Here is a 24711-nt window from a genome sequence, read left to right as displayed (position 1 = left end):
TCATTCATTTATCATGAACGTATTAGGCTGTACAGTTTTTCCTGATATTCTAGCTATTTTCTTGGGTAAGAGGTGCCATAGAACTGGAGGAAATACTCTTTAGAGGAGCTACTTGAAGATTAACTGTTATAATAGAGAGTAAGCGACAACCAAAACAGGTTTAAAACAAAAAGCTGCAAAAACTATTTTTACGTCTCCATATAAAATAAAAGAAAATAGTAGATGAACAAGTGAATCAGGAAGATCTCTTGGAAAAAGCCATGTTTATCATAGGAAGAAGATACTTCAAAAAATTGAAATAGCTTAAAGAAGGAGGACCAAAGTAAATAATATGTACAAAAAATGACCATTGAGGTTCTGAAATAATATTTTATCATTATTTTAATGTTAAAGATGTCACTTGAATACATAGAAAAATGCAATATGAAGATCTTAATATTATGAAAATATGTCCATCTTTATGCTTTTTAACAAAATGGTGGGTTTTTTTCCCTGTGTTAATTGAAATACTATTTTGGCAGTCATATCTTTTTTTCAATTATCTGTAAACTTAGATTTGTGCATCTATGCACTATGCATCTGTAAAGTGAATAGATGCACTTTAATTTCAGCTGAAAGTTTGAATCCTAGCATTACTGTTTTTGATTTGCTGCATAGGCAGTTTGCATTTTAAGGGTGTACCCTTTCTTTTCAATTATTTTTTTGTTCAAATACAAAATTTGGGAGTAGAGGTTATTTCTAATGACTTAACAGCATCATGTGGTATGTCTGATTAAGGTTGATTAAAGTTTATGCCAAATAGGTTGTGGTAATGTAAGGCCTAATTTCAGGTTGAAAAAAAAAAAGGCCCCAAGTTATTTCTAACCATGTTTAAACTCAGCACTAGACTTGCTATTTAGATTGTGAACTATAACTTCAAAAATGCTAATGATTTAAGACACAGAATCCTACTAGAACAAGAAAGAAAAACTAAGTTTCATCTGATTAGAATGTTATGTTCGATTATCATGCGCTTCAGTTTTAGATGACAAAAATGGGAAGATGAGGAACTTTTGTGGTGTTTTTCAGCACTACGTAGATAATTTACATAGATAGTCAGAATGTTGATTCTGGCTTCTGGCACCAAAATGTTACCAACTGATATTGTGTGTCCTTCAGTGACTTAGATCTTACCTTGATTCTGTTTGTGGTATAGTTTCCTACAATATCACCATTTAAACAATGTTGCACACTTTGCCTTCAAACTGGAAGGACCCTATTAGAAGCCATTTTGATTGAGAAGGGTCATTGCTGGTTGGCGTATTGGTCTGTTAAAGAGAATCTTTATTGTTGTAAAATATATAATGCTTTAAGCTTGTGTATTAGAGAGGATAACAGTTTCTTTTCTTAGATCACCTGTCATTTCATAAAATGAAATTTTATATTAATTTTTTTTTGAAAAGTTCTTAGTGGAAATAGTAGAATATTTAACAGCTTTTTGGAAAAAATTGAGAATTCCTTCTTTATTTTAAACCCTTCAAAGGCAGATTGATTGATTGATTGATTGATTTATGACGGAATCTCACTCTGTCACCCAGGCTGGAGTGCAGTGGCATGATCTTGGTTCACTGCAACATCTGCCTCCTGCGTTCAAGCGAGTCTCGTGCCTCAGCCTCCTGAGTAGCTTGGATTACAGGTTTGTGCCACCATGCCCGGCTAAGTTTTGTATTTTTAGTAGAGACAGGTTTCACCATGTTGGCCAGGCTGGTCTTGAACTCCTAACCCCAGTGATCCGCCCTCCATGGCCTCCCAAAGTACTGGGATTACAGGCGTGAACCTCCGCATCCTGTCCAAAGGCAGTTTTAAAAAATGATCTAAAAATGGTGAACTTTTCTTTATTAGCTTTAATCATAATAACACTAGATATTATCCTTGATAGTTAATATTAATAGTAGTCATTTATATATTACTACTTCTTAAGACTTTTTTTTTTTCAAACTTTTTTGCCCTTTGGAGGAAAGATGTCTACCTTTTTGTATAACTTGCCAGTGGTATTCAGTGGATCCTCATTAAAAATTATTGTGAGATTAAATTGTAAATAGTCTTTTAAAATAGCTTTTTTTTTTTTTTTTTTTTTTTTTGAGATGGAGGCTCGCTCTGTTGCCCAGGCTGGAGTGCAGTGGCACAATCTCGGCTCACTGCAAGCTCCACCTCCCGGGTTGACGCCATTCTCCTGCCTCAGCCTCCTGAGTAGCTGGGACTACAGGTGCCCACCACCACGCCCGGCTAATTTTTTGTATTTTTAGTAGAGACGGAGTTTCACCATGTTAGCCAGGATGGTCTCAATCTCCTGACCTTGTGATCCGCCCGCCTCGGCCTCCCAAAGTGCTGGGATTACAGGCGTGAGCCACCATGCCCGGCCTTAAAATAGCTTTTTGAGATAAATTCATATACCATACAGTCCACTCATTAATGTGTACAGTGGTTTTTGGTATATTCACAGATATTTGCAACCATTACTATGATCTATTTTAGAATATTTTCATCATTTCAGAAAGACACTCTTCTCTATACCTTAAGTCTCTACACCCTGTTTCCCTATTTCCCCAGCCTTAAGCAACCATTAGTCTACCTTCTATCTCTGTAGATTTGCCTATTCCAGACATTGCCTATAAATGAAATCATATAACACGCGGTTTTCTGAGTGGCTTTTTTCACTTAGCATAATGTTTTCAAGATTCAGTCATGTTGTAGGATATGTCAGGACATATGATCTCAACCAGGTAGACTGCCTGGTAAGACTAAGACACCAACATTTTCCAGAGTTTTGAGAAAGAACCAAAAGTGTACATGCTCATAGCATACACAGTGCAGTCCAAAATTACTCAGTCTATCAGGAAATTATGATTTAGTCTCAAGAGAAAAAACAACTAATGGCAACTGTATTTAGTCCATTTTCATGCTGCTAACAAAGACATATCTGGCCAGGCCTGGTGGCTCATGTCTGTAATCTCAGCATTTTGGGAGGCCAAGGTGGGCGGATCACCTGAGGTTGGGAGTTCAAGACCAGCCTGACCAACATGGAGAAACCCCGTCTCTACTAAAAATACAACATTAGCTGGGCGTGGTGGCACATGCCTGTAGTCGTAGCTACCCAGGAGGCTGAGTCAGGAGAATCACTTGAATCCGGGAGGTAGAGGTTGTGGTGAGCCGAGATCATGCCATTGCACTCCAGGCTGGGCAACAAGAGTGAAACTGCATCTCAAAAAACAACAACAAAAAAGACAAGACATACCCCAAGACTGGGCAATTTATAAAAGAAAGAGGTTTAATTGGACTTACAGTTCCACGTGGCTGGAGAAGCCTCACAATCATGGTGGAAGTCTAGGAGTAGCAAGTCCCATCTTACATGGATGGCAGCAGGCAAAGAGAGAATGAGAAACCCTGATAAAAGTGGAAATCCCCGATAAAACCATCAGATCTCATGAGATGTATTCACTATCATGAAAACAGTATGGGGAAAACTGCCCCCATGATTCAGTTATCTCCCACTGGGTCCCTCCCACAACATGTGGGAATCCTGGGAGTACAGTTCAAGATGAGATTTTGGTGGGGACACAGAGCTAAACCAGCAACTCAAGATGATCCACGTATGAGAATTATTGGACAAAGACTTTAAAGCATTTAGTTTAAATATGTTCCATGAACTCAAGAAAAACACATTTGTTTTCTTCCAGGTGAAAGACATGATAGAAGTATCTCAGCAATAAAATAAAAACTATAAAAGAAACAAATGGAAATTTTAGGACGGAAAAATACAGTATTGGAAAAAAAAATTAAATGTCTTTGAGAGGACAAAGGAGATTACATAGGAATAAAGTATATTCAAATTCAATTTGGATATAGATCAATAAAAATTATCCCATGAAAAACAGACAAAAAGATTGAAAAAATGAGCAGATTCTCAGGAATGAAAAGGTGTAACATGCAAGTAATTGGAGTTCCAGGTAGAGAGAATAGAGACAATAGGACAGAAAAGAATAATAGCTCCAAACTTCCCATGTTTGGAGAAATACATGAATTTGTAGAATAAAAAATTGCATAGTGTTACAGCTCTTTTAGAATTGCACCAGAACCCTCCCCTGCCCTCCACCCCACGGAAGAAAATTGCAGCAAACCCAAAACAACATAAATTCTGGGAAAACCACACCTAGCTCATCAAAATCAAAGTACAGAATACAATGGATAGAGAAAAAGTCTTGAAAGCACCAGAGGAAAACAGTATATCACATACAGGGAAAAAAAAATGGAATGATCTCAGATTTCTCATCAAGACCACGGGGGCTAAAAGGTAATTAACATCTTCAGAGTATTGAGAGGAAGAAAACTATCAATGCAGTATTCTGTATCTGGGGATATTTTCTTCAGTAATGAAGTGGGGGTGAGGGGGAGACATTTTCAGATAAAGGTAACCCAAAAGAATTCATTGCTTCAGGCCTTCCTTACAAGAAATGCTGAAAAAAGCACTTCAGAATGTAGGGCAAAGATAGCAGAAGGCAACCTGGATTTTTAGGAAAGAAGAAAGAGAATAATAATTAGTAAATATCTCAGTGTATATGAAATACTGTATATATATATATTTTTTTTTTCTTACATCTTTAAAATATATGGCTTTAAAGTAAAAGTTGTTTTTTGGGATATTGAATGAATACATAATGTATATGACAGCTATGAGATAATCGAGAGAGGTAGGGCATAAACAAATTCTAGAATAATTATTTACCTTTAAAGTTAAAAAAAAAAGTAGGGGGCATAAAGAGCCAGTGGATTAGAGGGGAGAGAAAACTACTTTATCATTAGACTTCCCAGTGATGAAGCTTTATGATAAAGATTTATAATACCCTAGAAAAGAAAATGTGAACAAAACAGACTTTCAGGTATAAAAGACATGTACAAATGTTATCAAATACAAGAATTTTAGGAATGTTGTTTCCATGAATTCCTCTTGAAGAAGATACTAATCTAGTTAGTATAGTGTAATAATATATACTAGTTAGTATAGTATACATTTTCTAGTATAACCTACTAGAAAATGAGCTTCAGATGACTAACATGGCTATAGAGATATCAGTATAAGGACTGGTATTGCTCATTAAATAGTCAGTTGTAGAACTAAAGCAGAAAAAAGTTAAAAGGAGTGAGCACAGGATTAATGGCTATATGCTGTGGCATGAGCATGTAGTATAACTGTAAAAGTAGGTAGTGATAATTGGGAGAATTTATATAAAATTTTTTTCAAACTGTTTGCAGTAATCAAATTAGTGGTGACAGTATAGTTACTGTTATTTTGACATTGTTGTGTTTATAACGTGAAATGAAACAGAATGATTATGGAGTATTCTAATTTTATCCCTTATGTTAAGAATCAGAATTCTTGGTGTAGAAGAAAGGAGATGCTGATGTAATCTGGAAGAGATCATTAAAAACCCTAATGTCGTGAATTTGAATTGAAGATATCATTGTGGGCTGGGCATGGTGGCTCACACCTGTAATATTAGCACTTTGAGAGGCCAAGGCGGGCAGATCACTTAAGATCAGGAATTCGAGACCAGCCTGGCTAACATGGTGAAACCCTGTCTCTACTACAGATACAAAAATTAGCCCGGTATGGTATCACACGCCTGTAGTCCCAGCTACTCAAGGAGCTGAGGCTCAAGAATCGCTTGAACCTGGGAGGCGGAGGTTGCAGTGAGCCAAGATCGCACCACTGCACTTTATGTCAGTATGAACTTCTGCAGTATTTCATACACACACCCAGTACACCATACATACAGCTCTGTGTGGTGAAAATAACTAGAAACAGTGACCAGCACGTAGCAGTGAGCATCCCTATTGACAGATTATCGTCCTCACATACGATTTCCTACTGCAGGGAAAACAGGCTACTTGGAGAAATTGCTGACTCAAGATCTAGATAGGAAGTGTACAAGATGAGCCCTGTATGTCTTGTCATGCCAAATAGCAAATAAGCTTTCAAAGACTTTTAGGGTCATGTTTGAAGGATACAGGAGTCAAATTGGAAAGGTTACTAGTGGCGTAAGATGGGAAAATTTCAAATTTAATAGGGATAATAATAGAAAGAAATAGAAACTCATCAGATGTGCCTGTATTAATGAGTTTTAATGAGTGCATAATGTACCTGTACCAGCCTCAGTGCCTTGGAGATGAACTGAAAATATGAACAGTACATGTAATGAATGATTACTTGGTAGTTTATCATATGCTGTGTTAAAGTATAGGATACTACCCATTATCCAGTTATTTATTTATATATATATATATTTAAATTAGACTTCAAGTTTGCAGAGGCATAGACTATGACTTTTTTTCTATTGTACTCAGTGGATATATTTTATGATGTCTCTCTGGAGGTTTTCTTCATCTAGACCTGCAGCCTTGTGGTTTCAAGGGCTTCTTTCTGGGTGTTGGTTAATAGGTTGCTGCAACACAGCACTACAGTTGTCAAGTCATATTTTAGGAACAGTTGCTGTTATATCTGGAATTTAGACCATGAATTCTATATAAGTTCCAAAAGGGGTTATATCAGTCATGATTGCATGGAATGTACACGAAAATATATTTCCTGATAATCAAATTATTTATCTAGTTATTTATTCCTTTCATCTTCACTGTGTTCCATAATGAATTTAGATAATTAGAAATAAGAATGCATGCAATAAATCAATGGCAGAATATAAAAAGGAATAAAGAATCACAAAATGGAAATTATATTTTAAAATGAAGACCCCAAACCAAGGAGAAATAATGAACAGAAGTCGAGTCATATGCTTGAGGCACACCAGCTTTCTGTTGCGTAGAATCTCTCCCTGAGGGCAAGCAGGTTACATGAAACTTAGTGAAACTTAGTGGAATATACGTGCTTTCCTATCTTTGTTTTAAATCTTAAATACTGGATTGAATAGATTCTTAGGATGGAATGTATTTTTAAAGTAATTTTTCTTTACCCTAGTCCAAAAAACTAAAATGAAAAACCAGTTAACTTATTTATGGTTTTCTTCATAACTCTTTTTATCTCATGTAGTTTCATAGTCAAGATTTTTGATTACAGCTTTTATTAACCTCATCTCTTTAATGTTGATAATATTTTATATAATGTGGTTGAGTAAAGTGTACCGATATAGGAAATAGAGCAATCCTATTTTAATAGAATTTGTTGGGGGGGAAATACCACATAATTCATATCTAGAGAGTTTTTCATCTGTTATCCCATAAGAATTTCATGAAGGATTGGTATGTGCTTTGCCTATACCAGAGCTTTGCGCTGATTTCTTCTCTTTCAGCTTAGATTTGTGGGTATGATTTGGCAGTTATCCTCTTGGAATGTGTAAAATCATTACTTTTACAATGAGATAGAAATATTTTGAGGCCTAAGGCTTACTCAAAATTCTCTCAGTCTCTTACAGGCCTGAGTCACATTTCAAAATTGGAATTTTTCATATTGCTAATGGAGGAACTATTTTTATAGTATTGTGAAACTATTAAAGAATAGGTAATGTTATATGGATGCTCCTCGACTTACAGTGGGCTATGTTCCAGTAAGCCCATCATAAAGTTGAAGAATCATAATTTGAACCATTGTAAGTTAGGGACCATCTATAGTTAAAAATATAGTTAAAAACTGTTACACTAGAGTATAGGTGAACTCAGGATGTGCACAATTAGGAATTTTTAAATATAAATATAGTTACTATATTACAGTTCAGTTGGTATTTCAGTAACTACAAGGAATTTGGGGCAACTACAGAGTTTTAGAGGAAACCTTCCAGTTAGACCACTCCAAGTTCTGACACCAATTGGAAGTTCGAGGGGTTCCCAAAACCACCTCTTAGTTTTGATAATTTGCAAGACTCACAGAACTCACTGAATGCTGTTATACTTAACAGTTGTATTTTATTACATGGAATACCGATTTTATTACATGGATACCGATTTAAATCAGCCAGAGGAAGAAGTATTAATATATAGGGTAGAGTTAAAAAAAAAATACCACATGTGGAGCTTACATCATTCTTTCTTGGTGGAATTAGGACAGCCCAGCATACATATATGATAGTGCTTACCGAGTATTGCCAGCCAGGGAAGCCCACCTAAGCCTTTAGTTTTTATAGTTTTTTTAGGGTGGCCTCAATTACTTACTGCCTGTGTGACTGTCTTTAGTCTCCAGCCCTTCCCAAATGTTGGGCTGATAGCTTTAGTCTCCAGTCCTTTCCAGAGGCAAAACATAGTATGACTCAAATAAATTACATGTATCATAAATTACATTGGTAGATTGTCTAGTAGTCAAAGACACTCCTATCAGTTGTGCTATTCCAGGAGCCTAGCGACCATCTTCCAGTAGCTGAGGATAAAAGCCAGACCTCTCTTTGGGCAAGATTAGGCCTTCACTATACAGATAATTCCGTGGTCTTTAGGCAAGCTTTCCTATGATATTTGGACATCTTCATTTAGTGTAATGTTCATATGGCAGATACAGCAATAGTATCGGTTTGAATGTATCTGTCATTTGGAGGAGCCAATGCAGGGTAATTGAACGAAACTTCTGGTCTATCCTATAAAGCCATTATATACGTTTTCATATTTTTGTACTAATGTAATTACTTGTTTCCTCCTTTTATCTGTCACTATTTGTACTTGTACAGAACTATTTAGCATAGAAGTTACTTGATAGGTAGCTAAATGTAGTTATTCCTCAGGCTGGCCATTTGATTAGATCCTGAGGAGCCTTTAACTGAATCTCCCAGTGAGTATTCCTGAGATCAGATGCTATTGGCTATACTGTAGTTTTAGAAGGTTTTTCTTTTAGTGATATATTATTTATCTACATACAAGTATTTGTTAAAGAGAGTTAGTGTAAAGACATGTTAATATATAACAGGATAATGAGAAGCATAAAATAATTCTATAAATTTGCTCAAGATGATTTTTTTTTAGCTTAGAAAACCTTATTTTGAAATAAGTTTGGAATCACAGGAAATTGCAAAGGTAGTACAGAAAGGTCCCATGTACCTTTCGCCCAGTTTCCCCCAACTATACTATCTATCCTACTCATGGTAGGACTTCTTCCTTCCGTCTCAGTGGGCAGTGGTTTAATCTGCATTTTATTGCCCCATTACTCCCCGCTTTTCTCTTCTTTTTCTCATTTGCTGAATTTGAATGTTTATTTTCATAATTACACATAATTTGAATTTCATAGTAGTCTTTCTTTGAATTACATTTTAAATGTGGTATGTGGGTTGTTTTACTTGTTCTCCTTGTTGATTGTATCTGGATGGTTTTTGGAAAGATGCAGAGAAAGATTAGGATTTGTATAACCACCATTATTTTGCAGTACCTGGAATTATAGAATCATTAGTTTTTTATTCCCATAATTCTTAAATAATAGCTTCACTACCCAGTGGAAAAGATTAGTTTGAGAAAAGTTTACTGACAGAATTTTTTGAATAACTGTTTTCTCAAATGTAGGATGAACCCCAAATTAATGTTCCATAAAGAATTCTAATTTCTGACTGACAGAAAGGCTGTTGGTGATGTAATTTTACCAGTGTGGACTTTCTTTTATTACTGATGTAATATTTCTTTGACAAAATTAAGAGACAATTTCAAAAAGCAGTTTCATTTTAATATAATGCAGTATGCTGTTTTTATGAGTATAAAAAAGGAGGAGTAGGAAAATTAGAAAATAAAAGTATTGTTTTAGAAGAGTCCACTACCCTAACCTATATAAATGATAAAAAGGAACCGAATGGGAGATATTAATGTGATGTTGCTGGGAAGAGAAATGCCTGTCTTAAATTAGTGGTTGTCAGGGACCAATCCCCTGTGCAATATTTTGATTAGTGGTGTCTGGGTTGGGGCCAAGGTACATGCAATTAAAATAACCCTCTATAGTTGAATTCAGTGTCCAGCCAGAATTGAAACTATATAGATTAACTAATGTCGTATCCGCATTTTGGTCTTATGGGGGTAATATTTGTAATAATCATGCTTTTGGTACTGATGTTCTAGTGAAGTTAAAAAAAAAATCACCCATAGAATGTTGCCCTTTCAATGTAATCGTTGTTTTAGAATGCTTTTTTTTTGAGACAGGATCTTGCTCTGTCACCCAGGCTAGAGTGTAGTGGCATCGTCACGGCTCACTACAGCTTTGACCTCCTGGGCACAGGTGATCCTCTGACCTCAGCCTCTTGGGTAGCTGGGACCACTAGCGCAGGCGTGGACCACTATTCTTGGCTAATTTTTGTAGTTTTTGTAGCGATGAGGTTGCTCACGCTGGTCATAAACTCCTGGACTCAAGTGTTCCACTGGCCTTGCCTCCCAAAGTTCTGGGATTATAGGCGTGAGCCATTGTGCCCAGCATAGAATGCTTTTAAAGTTTTTAAAACTATTATTTTAAAACTAAAATCATAAAACTTTTAACCCAAATCTTATTTACTTTTGTTTAGGGACAAGGAAAATTATTCATTTTAGAAACTTTAATTAGTGTACATGTTTTGACTAATATTCAAATTATGGAAAACTTGAATAATGTTTTTACAGTAATAGATATTTTATCTCTTCCAAACATTTCTCAGTTTTCATGAATTATCAAAGTTGAAAATAATGTTTTACCTGAACTTTCCTTTCACTCCTTTTATTGACAATTCTTAGTATCTGGTTGTCTGGCTGCCACGTTATTTGCAAGACGTCACTGACTCAGAGTGGTTTTGAATGCCAGATGTTATTTTGCTGCTTCTTCCAGAAAATGGAATTTGTTGGGCTACTGTTCCACTTAACAATTGCTGTGTAACACATTATGTTCTCCAGAAGCAGGCACTGAGACAGAATGTGTCATGCAGGGTATTTATTAGGGGTTAACACCTGTAGAAGGGAATTGGAGAAAGCAGGTTTGGGTGGAGGAGAAGTCAGATTACACTGAGGCCAAAGCTTCAGTCAGCCCTACTAGGAGTTCTGAAGCGTCTGTGGTCACCTGAATTGTTGCTAGTTTAGTAGAAATGGCATGGTCTTTCTTATTTCCTTATCAGTCATTCAATGCATATGAAGTTCTCCAAGAAACACAGGCAGTTGTTTAAAGAGGCTCTCTGTAACTTTGAAGGAACCTGGCAGTGGGGAGCTATCTGTTGACATCTGGGGCAAAGCTCATCATTGAGGGAGAAGATAATACATCTCTGTCCACCATACACCCTGAAACACTATAGTGACTAATATAAAACAACAACAATTTTTTTTTTCTTTTTTTTTTTTGCTCATGAGTCTGAAATTTGGGCAGGACTAGGCAGCACCTAATTGTATCTTCTCTATGCAGCATGAGTTGCAGTAGCTCACCTGTGGTTGGAAGAATCACTGTCAAGATGGCTCACACACATAGCTAGCCAATTGGTGCTGCCCATCAGTTGGGAGTTCAGCCAGAGCTGTGGGCATGGGGTTTTTGTTCTTCCCATGTGGGCTGCTTGACTTTCTTAACAACATGATAAGTATGTTCTCTAGAGCAAGTGTCTCTAGAGAACAAAGCAGAATTGCATGACATTTTAATGACCTAGCCTTGGACGTCATAGCCAGCCTAAGTTCTATCATACTGTATTGATTGAGACAGTCACAAGAGTCCATCCAGGTTCAAGCTGAAGGGACAATCTTCTTGATGGGTGAGTGGCAAGGTTCTAGATGAAAATGTGGAGTGAGAGATATTATTGAGGCCATGTTTGAAAAATATGGTTTTCTGTATTCATAAAACTTAAAAGTTCAGGGTGCCTTAATTAGAAATAGGATTGGCTACATCTTTTAGAAAATTCAAATTAATAATGGTCCAAATGTATGAGGAGGGCTAGTGACTGAATGAGGTCCTTCTGGGCTACGGCCCTCACAGAAGCAACTAAAAATCTGAGCATAGCACAAAGACCATTATCCTAAAGGCACTAAAGAGTGAACAGAAGCGGGGAGAACCTGATTGGGAATACATCCTCAAAGAAGATGGAGGTATATGAAATGACATCTCATGTTTTGCAGCTCTCAGCCTGGGGCTGGGTGAAAATGGCATGGTGTACATTGTGGCATGGGAGAAGATAACAAGAAGATAAGTAGAAGAACTCTGGTCTCTATGGCCTGTGAAAGCTGAATTTGGGGAAACTATGTTTGTTAGAGAGGGGATCCAAAATCTGTCTACTGACAGCTCACATGACCCCTGAGTGATAGCTTCACTCAGAGCTGCTCAGCTAAAGACAAAAGATAAGAAACTTCTTCCCAAGAAACAGTTTGCAGTTTAAATGTGTTTAATCAGCTGATTAAAAAAAGAAAGAAAAAAATGCTAACTGGAGAAAAATTAAAGAATCCAGAGTTTCAGAAATTTAACATTTATTATGTTCAGGGAACATTCAGAATTACCCAATGTATAAAGAAAAAGGAGTATGTAACTCCTTTACAAGAGAAAAGAGTATCCCTGAAATGACCCAGATGTAGAAATTATTAATAGCAGACTAGGATTTTTAAGTGGCTGTTAACAACTATTCTCAGTAAAGGTAAATAAAATGTGTTCACAATATATGAAAAAATAGGAAATCTCAGCACAGAACTAGAAACAAATCAAATGGAAATTCTAGAAATGAAAAATACAAAATCTGAAATGAAAATTTTCACTGCAAAAAATTAACAGCCTAGTGGAGATGACAAAGTAAAGACTTGAAGTTAAATAAGCCAGAAGTTATTGAAGGTAACAGAGAGGAAAAGATTAAAATAATAGTAGTCCAAGGACCTGTTAGAAAATATCACAAGGTTTTATGTACATGTACTTTGAGATCAAGAAGGAGAGGAAAGAGAATGGGCCAGAAAAAATACCTGAAGAAATAATGGCCTCAAATTTGATGAAAGATATAATTTTATGTATTTGAGATGCTCAAGAAACACCAGGGGGCCGAGTGCAGTGGCTCACGCCTGTAATCCTAGCACTTTGGGAGGCCGAGGCGGATGGATCACGAGGTCAGGAGATCGAGACCATCCTGGCTAACACGGTGAAACCCCTTCTCTACTAAAAATACAAAAAAAATTAGCCGGACGTGGTGGCAGGCGCCTGTAGTCCCAGCTACTCGGGAGGCTGAGGCAGGAGAATGGCGTGAACCCAGGAGGCGGAGCTTGCAGCGAGCGGAGATCGCACCATTGCACTCCAGCCTGGGTGACAGAGCGAGACTCTGCCTCAAAAAAAAAAAAAAAACACCAGGGAAGATAAATATGAAAAAGGCCATGTCAAGGTTCATTATAGTGAAACTATTGAAATCCAAAGACAGAGAGCAAATTTTGGAAGCAGCAAGGAAAAAATGACAAGTTACATTTGGGGGAACTACAATTCCATTAAGAGATGAATTCTCATTAGAAAATAAAGAAGCTAAAAGAGAGACTTAAGAATTCTATATATCCAGTGAAAATATCCTTCAAAAATAAATGTGATATGATATTTTTAAGTAAAAGAAGAACAAAAAGAACAAGAAGCCAGGGGTGATGGCTCATGCCTATAATCCCTGCACTTTGGGACACTGAGGCAGGCGGATCACTTGAGGTTAGGAGTTTGAGACCAGCCTGACTAACATGGTGAAACCCTGCCTCTACTAAAAATACAAAATTAGCCAGGCTTAGTGGCGGGCACCTGTAATCCCAGCTACTCAGGAGGCTGAGGGCAGGAGCATTGCTTGAACCCAGGAGGTGGAGGTTTCAGTGAGCCAAGATCATGCCACTGCACTTGAGCCTGGGTGACAGAGTGAGACTCCGTCTAAAAAAAAAAAGAACAGAAGAATTTATTGCCAGAAGACCTGCACTGTAAGACATGCTAAAGGAAGTTCTTTAGGCTGCAGGGAAATGATACTACATGAAAGCTTGGATCTGCAGAAAGGAATCCAAGGCACTTAAAATTGTAAATGTCTAGATATACATACTAGACTATAAATTTTTTATTCTTACTAATTTCTTCACAAACCATATGACTGCTTAAAGCAAAAATTATAACATTGTCTTGAACTCATCAGAGATTTGAGGTCATAGGGCAACCAACTAACCTGAAATCTAAGAAATGACAGGTACTTCCAAGGAAAAGATCATTGAGGTACAAAGGAGAGCAGAGAGCTGCATATTAAGAAAGGGCAGCATTAGGGGAATGGAAATTATGCTTCTGGGAAAAGAGGAACCAGGAAAGGAAACTGAGAAGCATTAATTTTAGATGGGAGAAAAAATAGAGAAGAAAGTGGTATAGTTGGGAGAATAACCAGCAGTGTCAGATGTCATAGAGAAGTCATTACAGGATTCAAACTAAAAAGATGCTACTGGATTTGGCAGTGAAAAGGTCATTTGTCATCTTAAAGAGTATTTTCTGCATAATGAATAGGGAAAGGGAAAGCCAAAAAAAAACTTTTGGACAACTTCTTTTCAGCACTCAAATTCCTTTTAAGAATTGATCATACATTTCAGTGGTAATGTAAGGACGAGGACTTGCATTTTCTTGGAGCAGGTATAATCATAGGTAACTTTATACTTATGACCTTCATTATTTAAAAAGATTTTACCAAATATGGAATGCAAAACATTTTCTAGGAGGCCTCTAGTTTTTATTCTTATGTAGTATTGTAAGATGCCAAAATCTTAGCTCAGTGATCAAATTATTTGTACAGAGAATAGGTAGATGTTTATCTACCTACTTTTCTTTGATCCTACTTCTTCAAGATGTTGGAACCTTTTGGGTTTGTGGGTACTGTCAATTAAGTGTAACCTTCTTTCTGTTCAGGTGACACTAGAGAGCTCTTGCTATTCCTCCTCTCTTGAGCCCCCCTCCCCCAAGTTTGAATGAAGTATCTATGCTTGTTTTACTGCCTATTGAGAACATCCTTATGGAGTAATTAAGAGCCTTCTTTACTCAGTTGATAGATGTTGGTCAGCAGAGGCATTGAGGCACCCCCACTCCCGCCCCTAGTGAGCACTAATGGGAATTGGAATGTGTGGCTTCTCCTCACTTTGTTTACACTTTAGAGTACAGAAAGAACCAGGGTGGTCCTTGTATAAGTTCAGCTTAGTTCACATCATACTTTGCCCCAAACATTTTTCTTATGACTACTATAAATTTAGATTTAAATGAAAATAATAGGTAAGTCTGAAGGAAAAAGGAAACCTCAGAAGGCCAAGCTATAGTCTTGGTCAAATGTTTTCTTTTGCTCGAGGTGATAAAGTATGTGAATTTATGTAAGTTTTACGCCTTACTTTCACCTGGTAATTTAGTGAAATATTCAGGCCAGCTAGATGGAAAAGCCATTTTCTCTTTTACCCTATGAATCCTTCAAATTCTGCCTCATACCAGCATTATCTATTATATTGCCTCACCCCCAAAACAAAAATAAAACTTAAATATTTTCAAACACAACAGATGACTAGGGAGAAGAAATAGCCCACCCTCCTGAGGCCTCGTTATTTCGAAGGTTAGGAGAGTTTCCGTCTGCCCAAATAGTGACCATTTTAAGAACAGAGACTTCAGCCATGGAATAAAATGAGTAAGGATGTGGAGTGAGTCAGTAGGCTACATACTTTATTAAATGTATAATTGTACTCATTGTTGGATAAACAGAGACCAATTAATATTGTCATTTTAACATCATGGTGCTTATCTGTGATATTGATAACCATTAACTGTTTGGACTAAAATATATTGCGGACTGCAGATGATCTTAGTGGCTTAGTGAAAACATTTTCATATTCTTTGATTAAATGATTCAGACATTTACACATGTATTTTTGGTTTTTAATTAATTTTAATCAAACAATACTTAACACAGTAAAGAAAAAACTAATACAAAAAAAGGTTATATTGAAAAGTAGTCTCTCCAGCATACCTCTTATGCCTGCTCCCTAGTGGCAGCTATATTCAATTCTATTTTTTAAAAGTTATTTAGCCCCATATCTCTAATGTCCTGATATGTTGATGTTTCTAGATTTGCGAATTTTGGACAGTTTGTAAAGACTTCTTTTGCCTGCCTTCTATGCTAGTGGAGGATTTAGCTGTTTGTATTCCTCTTTCTACTTTTCCTCCCTGCATTCTCTCACTATACTTTTATCACTATTTTTGATCTTCTTGGTAGATAATGGTTGCATTTTTGAGACTTTGTAAATATTGTTTATTGCTGAGCCAAGAAATATACTATAATTTTTTCCTTTCTTATCTAACAATTTTTCCTATAATTAATAATAGGCTCAAATTTGTTTTCAGTTGTTTGTCAGTACTCTTAAAATTTCCTTTTATGTGTACTAAATGCCTAACAGTACATTTTCAAGTATTCGAGTACATCAAATCATGTATCAAGTCAATTTAGTTCCTTTCTCCCAACCTTGTAGGCAGTTATAATTCAGCTTCCTTGGCTCTGCATTATTTATCATATGTATGTTCTCCATCTTTGAAAATTGTGTTGACACCCATCATCTTCCATTGTCTTTTCTTACATTCACTTGTGAGTTTCTACCTTTTAGTTCTTGTATTGTCATTTTACTGTAGTTCTGGAGGGAGCAGAGATAAACATGTTTACTCCCATAAATATTTTTGGGGTGATGAGGGAATAAGAAGAAGGATTTCTGTTTTCTACTTTTATGTACTCCTATAGTGCATAGTATTGCATTTAATTCAGTGCTGTTGCATGCTGTAAATGTTTAATTAATGCTTATTGAATGTTTTACTTTGTCAGTTGTTACATTCTTATCCCAACCCTCACTCTACCCCCAACATGCTTATGGGATCCTGAAATTTTATTTCCTAAAACCTGTCTTTCTCTCAGCTGCTAATATATAACATAAGATTATTTATACAAGAAGACTATGTATTGATTTGGAAGAAAATGTGAAGTGATAAGAGTAATGTTGAGCCCTTTGCATTTTAGTGATTTATTGAGAGTTTACTGAATGTTTTGAAACTAGGATCTGGTTTCCAGAGTCTGAATTTTTAAAAATTTAGTTAGGGGTGTGTGTGTGTGCGTTTGTGTGTGCGTGCACGTGTGTGTGCGCTCATGCGCACGCACTTGAAAAGAGATAGGAGTCTTGCTCTCACCTAGGCTGAAGTGCAGTGGCATGATCATGGCTCACAACAGCTTTGAACTCCTGGGCTCAAGTGATCCTTCCACCTCAGCCTCCTGAGTAGCTGGGACCACAGGCATGCACCACAATGCCTAAGATTTAATATTTTTTTTTATAGAGACAGAGTCTCACTATGTTGCCTATAGATGAGATATGTAAGTTCTCTGTGGAAAATAATTCATAACTGAAGAATATAAAAAAAGACTTATAGGTTTAGTGTATATACAGATGGGAAGTGTCACATTGCAAAGATGTCAGTTCTCTTCAGATTAATCTATAAAATCATGATTCCCATAAAAATTTCAATATGTATTATAGAACATATTAAGCTAATTCCAGCATTGATCTAGAAGAGTAATGGCAATTAAAAAATATGCTCTGCCGATAGGAAGCTCATTATTTTATAATTAAGACACTGTGGTATTGGTGCAGGTAGAGGCATATGGATAGGGTGGCCATTCATCTTGGCTTGTGTGGGAGAGTTCCAATTTATGCCTGTTATCCTGGCAATTATTAATAGGCTCCCTTTCACTGTAAAGATTGTCAACTGAAAAAAAATAGAGTAATACAGTAATATTTTTGCTCTTCTTGAGAGTCCTGAAACAAACCCACTAAATTTATGACGTATGTGGTATTAGATAATAGTGGTGAAAGGATATCATTCAGTAAATGGTGCTGGGGTAGAAAGAAATGTAACTGCCCTTTATCTCACACTACACACAAAAATTAATCCCCGGTAGATTTAAAAACTGGAAAAGCATAACTTTAAAACTTACACAAGAGAAAATTAGGACACCATCCTTATGATGTCTGGGAAGACAGAAATCATAGTATAAATTATAAGACTACATTAGTATTTTATATATATATATATTTTTTTTTTTTACAAATAAGAAGGACATTAAAAACAATGGAAAAACAAGCCCACATGCAGGGAGAAGGGATTTGTAACACATCATGAAGAACTAAGTTCGAGTAAATAGAATCCCTGAAGATTAAACAAAAAACAGTGCACACACAATTTTTACAACGGCAAGGGATATTAACAGGCATTTTATAGAAGAGGAATGTAAAATGACCAATGATACCAGTGATAATATGAAAAGATTCTCAACTGTATTCGTAATCATGCTAGCACAGTTGAAGATGTCCATATCTTTCATCTCAGAAATTTCACTTCTACATCTATAGTCTGGAGAAGCATTCATATATGAGTACTAGAAGACATTTATTAAAATATTCATCCAGCATTCTGTGTTTTAACAAAATAAAAATGGGCAACAATCAAAATTCCGTTATCAGGAGAATTGATAAATTTTGATATGTATATAATTAAAATTAATTAAAATTAATGAATTAAAACAATATGTCCCAAAATAGATGTTTTAGAAACATATATACACACACATATATATGTTTGGAAACATACACACATATGTTTGGAAACATATACACACATATATGTTTGGAAACATACACACACATATGTTTGGAAACATACACACATATATGTTTGGAAACACACATGTTTGGAAACATACACACATTTATGTTTGGAAACATACACATATGTTTGGAAACACATATGTTTGGAAACATACACGTTTGGAAACATACACATGTTTGGAAACATGTTTGGAAACATACACACGTTTGGAAACATATATGTTTGGAAACACACACATATGTTTGGAAACACACACATATACACACACATATATGTTTGGAAACACACACACACACACACATATATATTTATTTTATTTTATTTTTTTCTTTTGGAGACAGTTTCTCATTCCATCACCCAGGCTGGAGTGTAGTGACACAGTCACGGCTCACTGCAGCCTTGACCTCCCAGGCTCAGGTGATCTTCTCACTTCAGCCTCCCAAATAGCTGGGATCGCAAGCATGTGCCATCCTGCCCAGCTAATTTTTCATTTTTATTTTTTGTAGAGAAGGGGTCTCACTGTGTTGCACAGGCTGTTCTTAAACTCCTGGGCTCAAGTAATCCTCCCTCCTCGGCCTCCTTTGGCCTCCCAAAGTGCTGGGATTATAGGCATGAACTATCACACCCAGCTGATGAAGCATAATATTTGAATAAACCAAGTTGCAAAAGGCAATGCACAGTTTGGTGTCATTTATAAAGACATTTTAAAAAGTACATAGTTTTATGATGTTGTATATAGGCATAATAGTGTAAAATATGCATGGATACAGTAAACACCAAATTTAGGATAGTAGCTATGTCTGGGTAGTGGAGGGAGAGGATGAGATCAGGAATGGTAATAGAATACTTATGTTTTTCAGTACTATCTGTAATGTCTTGTTAATTTTTAGTATTTTCTATTTTATTTATATAGTATTATGAATAAAATATATTCACATAATATGCTTTATGTATATGTATATAGTTTATAATTACTATCTATAAAATAAGCAAAGATATTATTGATGCATATAAATCCTGTCTTTGCAGTTCCTTTAATCTCCTTTACAATCTAAGAAGTACTATACCAGTAGAAGTAATTCGTAGTGACTGTATAGCTTAATTTTTAAGATAAAGAATAAAATATTTTTTCCTCATCTAAAAATGGTCTTAGTAATTGCTAAGCTTCCTTCCAGAACTAAACTGTACTTCTTTGATGTTTCCTCTACAGCAGATCTTTTTCAACAGGTTAGAATACAGTCAAATGTTGAGGATTATAAAGCTAATACCCTATACAGATTGTTGTTTTCAATCACCCTGTCTCTCTTTAGCAACCATCTATCATCTACAATAGGGGTTTGAAAACTTTTTCTATAAACAGCCTGAGAGTAAATATGTTAGGCTTTGTAGGCCATGTGGTCTGTGTCACAGCTACTCACTTTGCCTTTGTAGTGTGAAAGCAGACATAGGCAATACCTAAATGAATGGGCATGGCTGTGTTTCAATAAAACTTTATTTACAAAAACAGGCAGCAAACCAGATTTGGCCGTGGGCCATAATTTACTAACTCGTGATATACAACACACTCAGAGAAATTGCTTCAGTAATCAAAGTAATACTGTTATAATATTTTACCCTTATTATGGGTGGTAAAACTGAAGCATAGAGATCTTAAATGGCATTATTCAGGTTAAAGTAGCCCTCCCATATTCCTGTAATTTACATGGCAATGTAATTTTTTAAAAAATATATAGGTTCTCCAGAGATTCTTTTTCTCCCTCTAAAAGTAGAGTGAGTTGGGTGGGTATAATCTCTTAGTTATTCACAATTACAACCTTTACTATGATTAGAAACTTAATATTGTTAAGTCCCTGAGAATCTTCTTTACAGAACCATTTTATATATGATTATTTTTCTAAGGTTTGCATTCACATGCAAAAACAAATACAAAAGCTGGTATATGATATAGTTTAGATTTGGGTATCTTACACACCATTGACTTAACATCCAAAGACAATGAAAGCTTTAAATAATATAGACAGTCTATTAGGCAGTTGTTTTAGTTCTTCTGTAAAATCAACTTTATGAAGCAATTTCTTTGTGTTGTCATGACCTGCAGTAATTGAGACTTTATCTATCTGCAGTTATCTTAAGGTCTAGAAAGTATATTTTTCCCTGTCCAGTTTCATGGGCTAGAGGATAGTATTTTTTGTGGTTATCAGGTAATGTTGACTCTTCTGTATGCAGAAAGTAGGTCTACCATAGTCACATTGGAATCTGTGTAAATCAAAAGGAAAGATAGTAAGATTAATTTAACCAGAATGAAAATTACCACACTACTTTTTATCTCTAGAAGAATACTGAAATTACATGTGTTTGAGAAAGTTTTAATATGAATCAGAACCAGGATTTGAATTAATAAAGTAATTAAATAGATTTTCTTAGAATATTACTTTTAAAATAAGTTGAGATTTTTTTCTGACAAAAAGAATATCTTACCAAACAATGAATTGTTTATTTTTCCACTAAAAATTGAATTTATTTATTTTTTCAGAGACATTAAACCTGACAATATACTGATGGATATGAATGGACATATTCGGTTAGCAGATTTTGGTTCTTGTCTGAAGCTGATGGAAGATGGAACGGTAAATAAAGATAAATCCTAAATTATTTTGTTCACAGACATTTCCCTTGCTATTTGTCTGATATATCTGTTTTAGAAACCATCTATTTATACTATCTACCCATCCATCCATTTGTCTATCTATGCGCCACCTCCTTCCACAAAGGCATTTGGGCATACTTACAGTGGGGTTGTCTAAAAAGTCACAAGCCATTTCAGCTGCTTATATCAGTGATCTTAAGATTGATAAAATATACCCTTTATGAGACCCTTGTTTGCTCCTTCTTTAGTTGGTGACTTCTGTTGTACTTTAGATATTTCAAAGTTCACCGGGGGTAAAAGAACTAAGTCTCACATAGAAAAAGAAAACGCAGCTTTGCCCGCACTTTTACTTTTTTGTCTTTCTTTCCTAAATTGCTTAGTTATTCTAAGGGATAGTGTTCAACAAATGAATCCCTTTTTCAGAAAGTTCACAAGTTGATTTAGTTTCATGTTCCCATTTGCTTAACTTTTGCTAACCCTAAACCCGTCAGTTGGTTTTTTTTGTTTACTTAATAGCTGGGCATGGTGGTGCGTGCCTGTAGTCCCAGCTACTGAGGAGTCTGAGGTGGGAGGATCTCCTGAGCATGGGAGGCAGAGGTTGCAGTGAGCCAAGATTGCACCACTGCACTCCAGCCTGGGCAACAGTGAAGTCCTGTCTCCCACCCCCTCACTCCCCCAGAGCCACCCAGAAAAAAAAGGCTGGGCATGGTGGCTCACGCTTGTAATCCCAACACTTTGGGAGGCTGAGGCAAGAGGATCACTTGAGTCCAGGAGTTTGAGACCAGCTTAAGCAACATAGTGATACTCTGTCTCTGTTTTAAAGAAAAAAAAAAGTTTATATGCCACAGTTTTATTCTGTTTTTTTTTTTTTTTAACTTCATTTTTTTCTGGCCATATAGGAGAGGTCCAAAAATATATCAGTTTAATTGACAGAAACTTTTTGGAGGACAGTTTAGTATAATACATTCCAAAAGCCATGAAAATGTCACATTACTCTAGACCAGTAATTTTAACTTTGGAAAAATTTTATTATTTTTTTTTTAGACAAAGTCTCTGTTGCCTAGGCTGGAGTGCAGAGGCGCCATCTTAGCTCACTGCAACCTCCGCCTCCTGAGTTCAAGTGATTCTTCTGCCTCAGCCTCCCAAGTAGTTGGGATACAGGCAAGCACCACCACGCCTGGCTAATTTTTGTATTTTTTGTAGAGATGGGGTTTCACCATGTTGGTCAGGCTGGTCTCAAACTCCTGACCTCAGGTTATCTGCCCACCTCGGCCTCCCAAAGTGCTGGGATTACAGGCGTGAGCCACCGTGCCCGGCCAACTTTGGAAAATTTGTCCTACAGTGATAACTTTGTTAAAAAGAATTATGTGACCTCTGTCTCTGGCCATGATAGAGGGATTAAATTGGTACCAAATTAGCACTCCCACTGTAAGGAACTGTAAAACTGGATACAATAGTTGAAGCTACTGTTTTCCAGCAGTGGACAACAGGCAGCATAATACTATTATCCCTGACATAAATGAACTCGTGAGGTATTCCTCACGATTGCGCAAAGACTGGGGCAGTTCCTGACTCTGATGCAGAAAGCTAGAGTGAAAGCAGAGCTGGACTACCTGCAGCAGCTGGAATATGCAGGGCTTGGCATTGGAGAGGAGGGAATTGTGCAGAGAGAGGGCATAAAGTGCCTCATGAAGGTTGGGCTGTGCATTGTACCACAAGACCATATGAGGCTTGACAATAGCAGATGATAGCATTTGAAAACAGACCAGAATACTAATGATCAAGCAGATCTCCCAGGCAGGAAACAGTGCTAGGGGAAATTGAATTTTCATCCCTGGAGAGCCAGCTAACACCTTTGTATCACCTAAGACCTACTCTCTAACAACCTAAGTCCAAGCCCTGATTAGATCCATAGAGTTTGGAAGTCTTCCTTCCAAGTAGAGGGGCTTATGACAAATCTTAGATTTTTGTATGAACCTACAATCACAGAGTGTATCTGTAAGCTAACTCATGGTCAAGGAGATCAGTCAGTAATTTTTTTATGTGCTTACATAAGAATTGTTTTTCTTCATAAGAAGATAATAGAATCAATACTCTCTATAACATCTTATTCACAATGACAAGGATTCAAAAAAAAAAATCACTGAACCAAACAAAAATGGGCATGTGGATAGTGATACAGAGTCAGATAAAAGCAGTCAGTAGAGGCCTGGCTGGCACACATGTTGGACTTAGCAGACAGAGAATTAAAGAAGTGATCATAGGTCGGTCACAGTGGCTCACGCCTGTAATCCCGGCACTTTGGGAGGCCAAAGAGGGTGGATCACCTGAGGTCAGGAGTTTGAGACTGCCTGGCCAACACAGTGAAAGCTTGTCTATACTAAAAATACAAAATTAGCCAGGCATGGTGGCACATGCCTGTAATCCCAGCTACTCACTCAGGAGGCTGAGGCAGGAGAATCGCTTGAACCCAGGAGGTGGAGGTTGCAGTGAGCCAAGATGGTGTCATTGCACTCCAGCCTGGGCAACAGAATGAGACTGCGTCTCAAAAAAGAAAAAAAAAAAAAGTTATAAAAATATTTAAGAAAACAAAGGAAAATGTAGCCTTAAAGATTACACAAATAAGGAATTTCAGCAGAAAAATGAGTCAAATGGACATTTTACGATTAGAAAGTACAGTAACTGAAATTTAAAATTCACTGGATGAGGTTAAAAGTGGACTAGAGATAGGAGAAGAAACAGCCAGTGAACTTGAAGACAGATGAGTAGAGATGAGCCAATGTGAAAAACAGAGAAAAATATTGAGACTAAATAAATAGAGGCTTAGGGATCCATATAGAAGAAGAGAGTGAGATGTGGGGAAAAAAAAATGTGTACGTAATGGCTCAACCTTCCCAAATGTGATGAAAAACTCAGATCTAAGAATTTTACCATATCTCAAACCTATAAAGAGAACCACATCTGGCCATGTCAGATGTGGTTAAAGTGCCGAAAACTAAAGATTAAAACATTTAAAAGCAGCCAGAAGGAAAGACATATTACGTACAGAGGAGAAATGGTAAGGACTACTGACCTGTCATGAGAAATCATGGAGTGATGTCTTTAAAGTGCTGAAGGAAAAAAATGTGTAAACTGAGGTTTCTGTATTAAGAAAAATATCCCTCAAAAATGAGAGTGAATTAGACATCTTCAGATAAATGGAAGATGAGAAAAATTAATCTCTAGCAGGCCTGAATGCTAAAGAATGTCCTCCATGTCAAAGGAAATGATACTGTTTGGACATTTGGATTTATAGCATAAAAATATCATATGCAATAAATAAGTGGGTAAATAAAATGTCTATACTGTCTTTCTTATTTAATTTACATAAAAGGTACCTAACTGTTAAAAGCAAAAATAATGTAATATGTAATTATTTGTAATGTGGGTTTATGACATGTAGAAGTAAAGGATATGACAATAGTCACATAAACAATGG

At 36.4% G+C, this 24711-nt stretch overlaps 1 protein-coding gene across 25 annotated transcripts in view; it reads left to right on the top strand.

Annotated features, from left to right (window-relative positions):
- The window catches only part of CDC42BPA (CDC42 binding protein kinase alpha), a 328635-nt gene that overhangs the window by 136737 nt on the left and 167187 nt on the right, over positions 1–24711 (top strand). For all 25 annotated transcript variants that reach the window (NM_001366011.1, XM_017002580.3, NM_014826.5 and 22 more), the window contains one exon: positions 21120–21213. In NM_001366011.1, the coding sequence (NP_001352940.1) occupies positions 21120–21213 (94 nt within the window). The remainder of the gene's footprint in view (positions 1–21119; positions 21214–24711) is intronic.

Source organism: Homo sapiens, chromosome 1 (genome assembly GCF_000001405.40).
Source record: "Homo sapiens chromosome 1, GRCh38.p14 Primary Assembly".
Classification (NCBI taxonomy): Eukaryota; Metazoa; Chordata; class Mammalia; order Primates; family Hominidae; genus Homo; species Homo sapiens.
The sequence above is the reverse complement of the archived record's forward strand: the minus strand, read 5'-3'. Positions and strand labels throughout refer to the sequence as shown.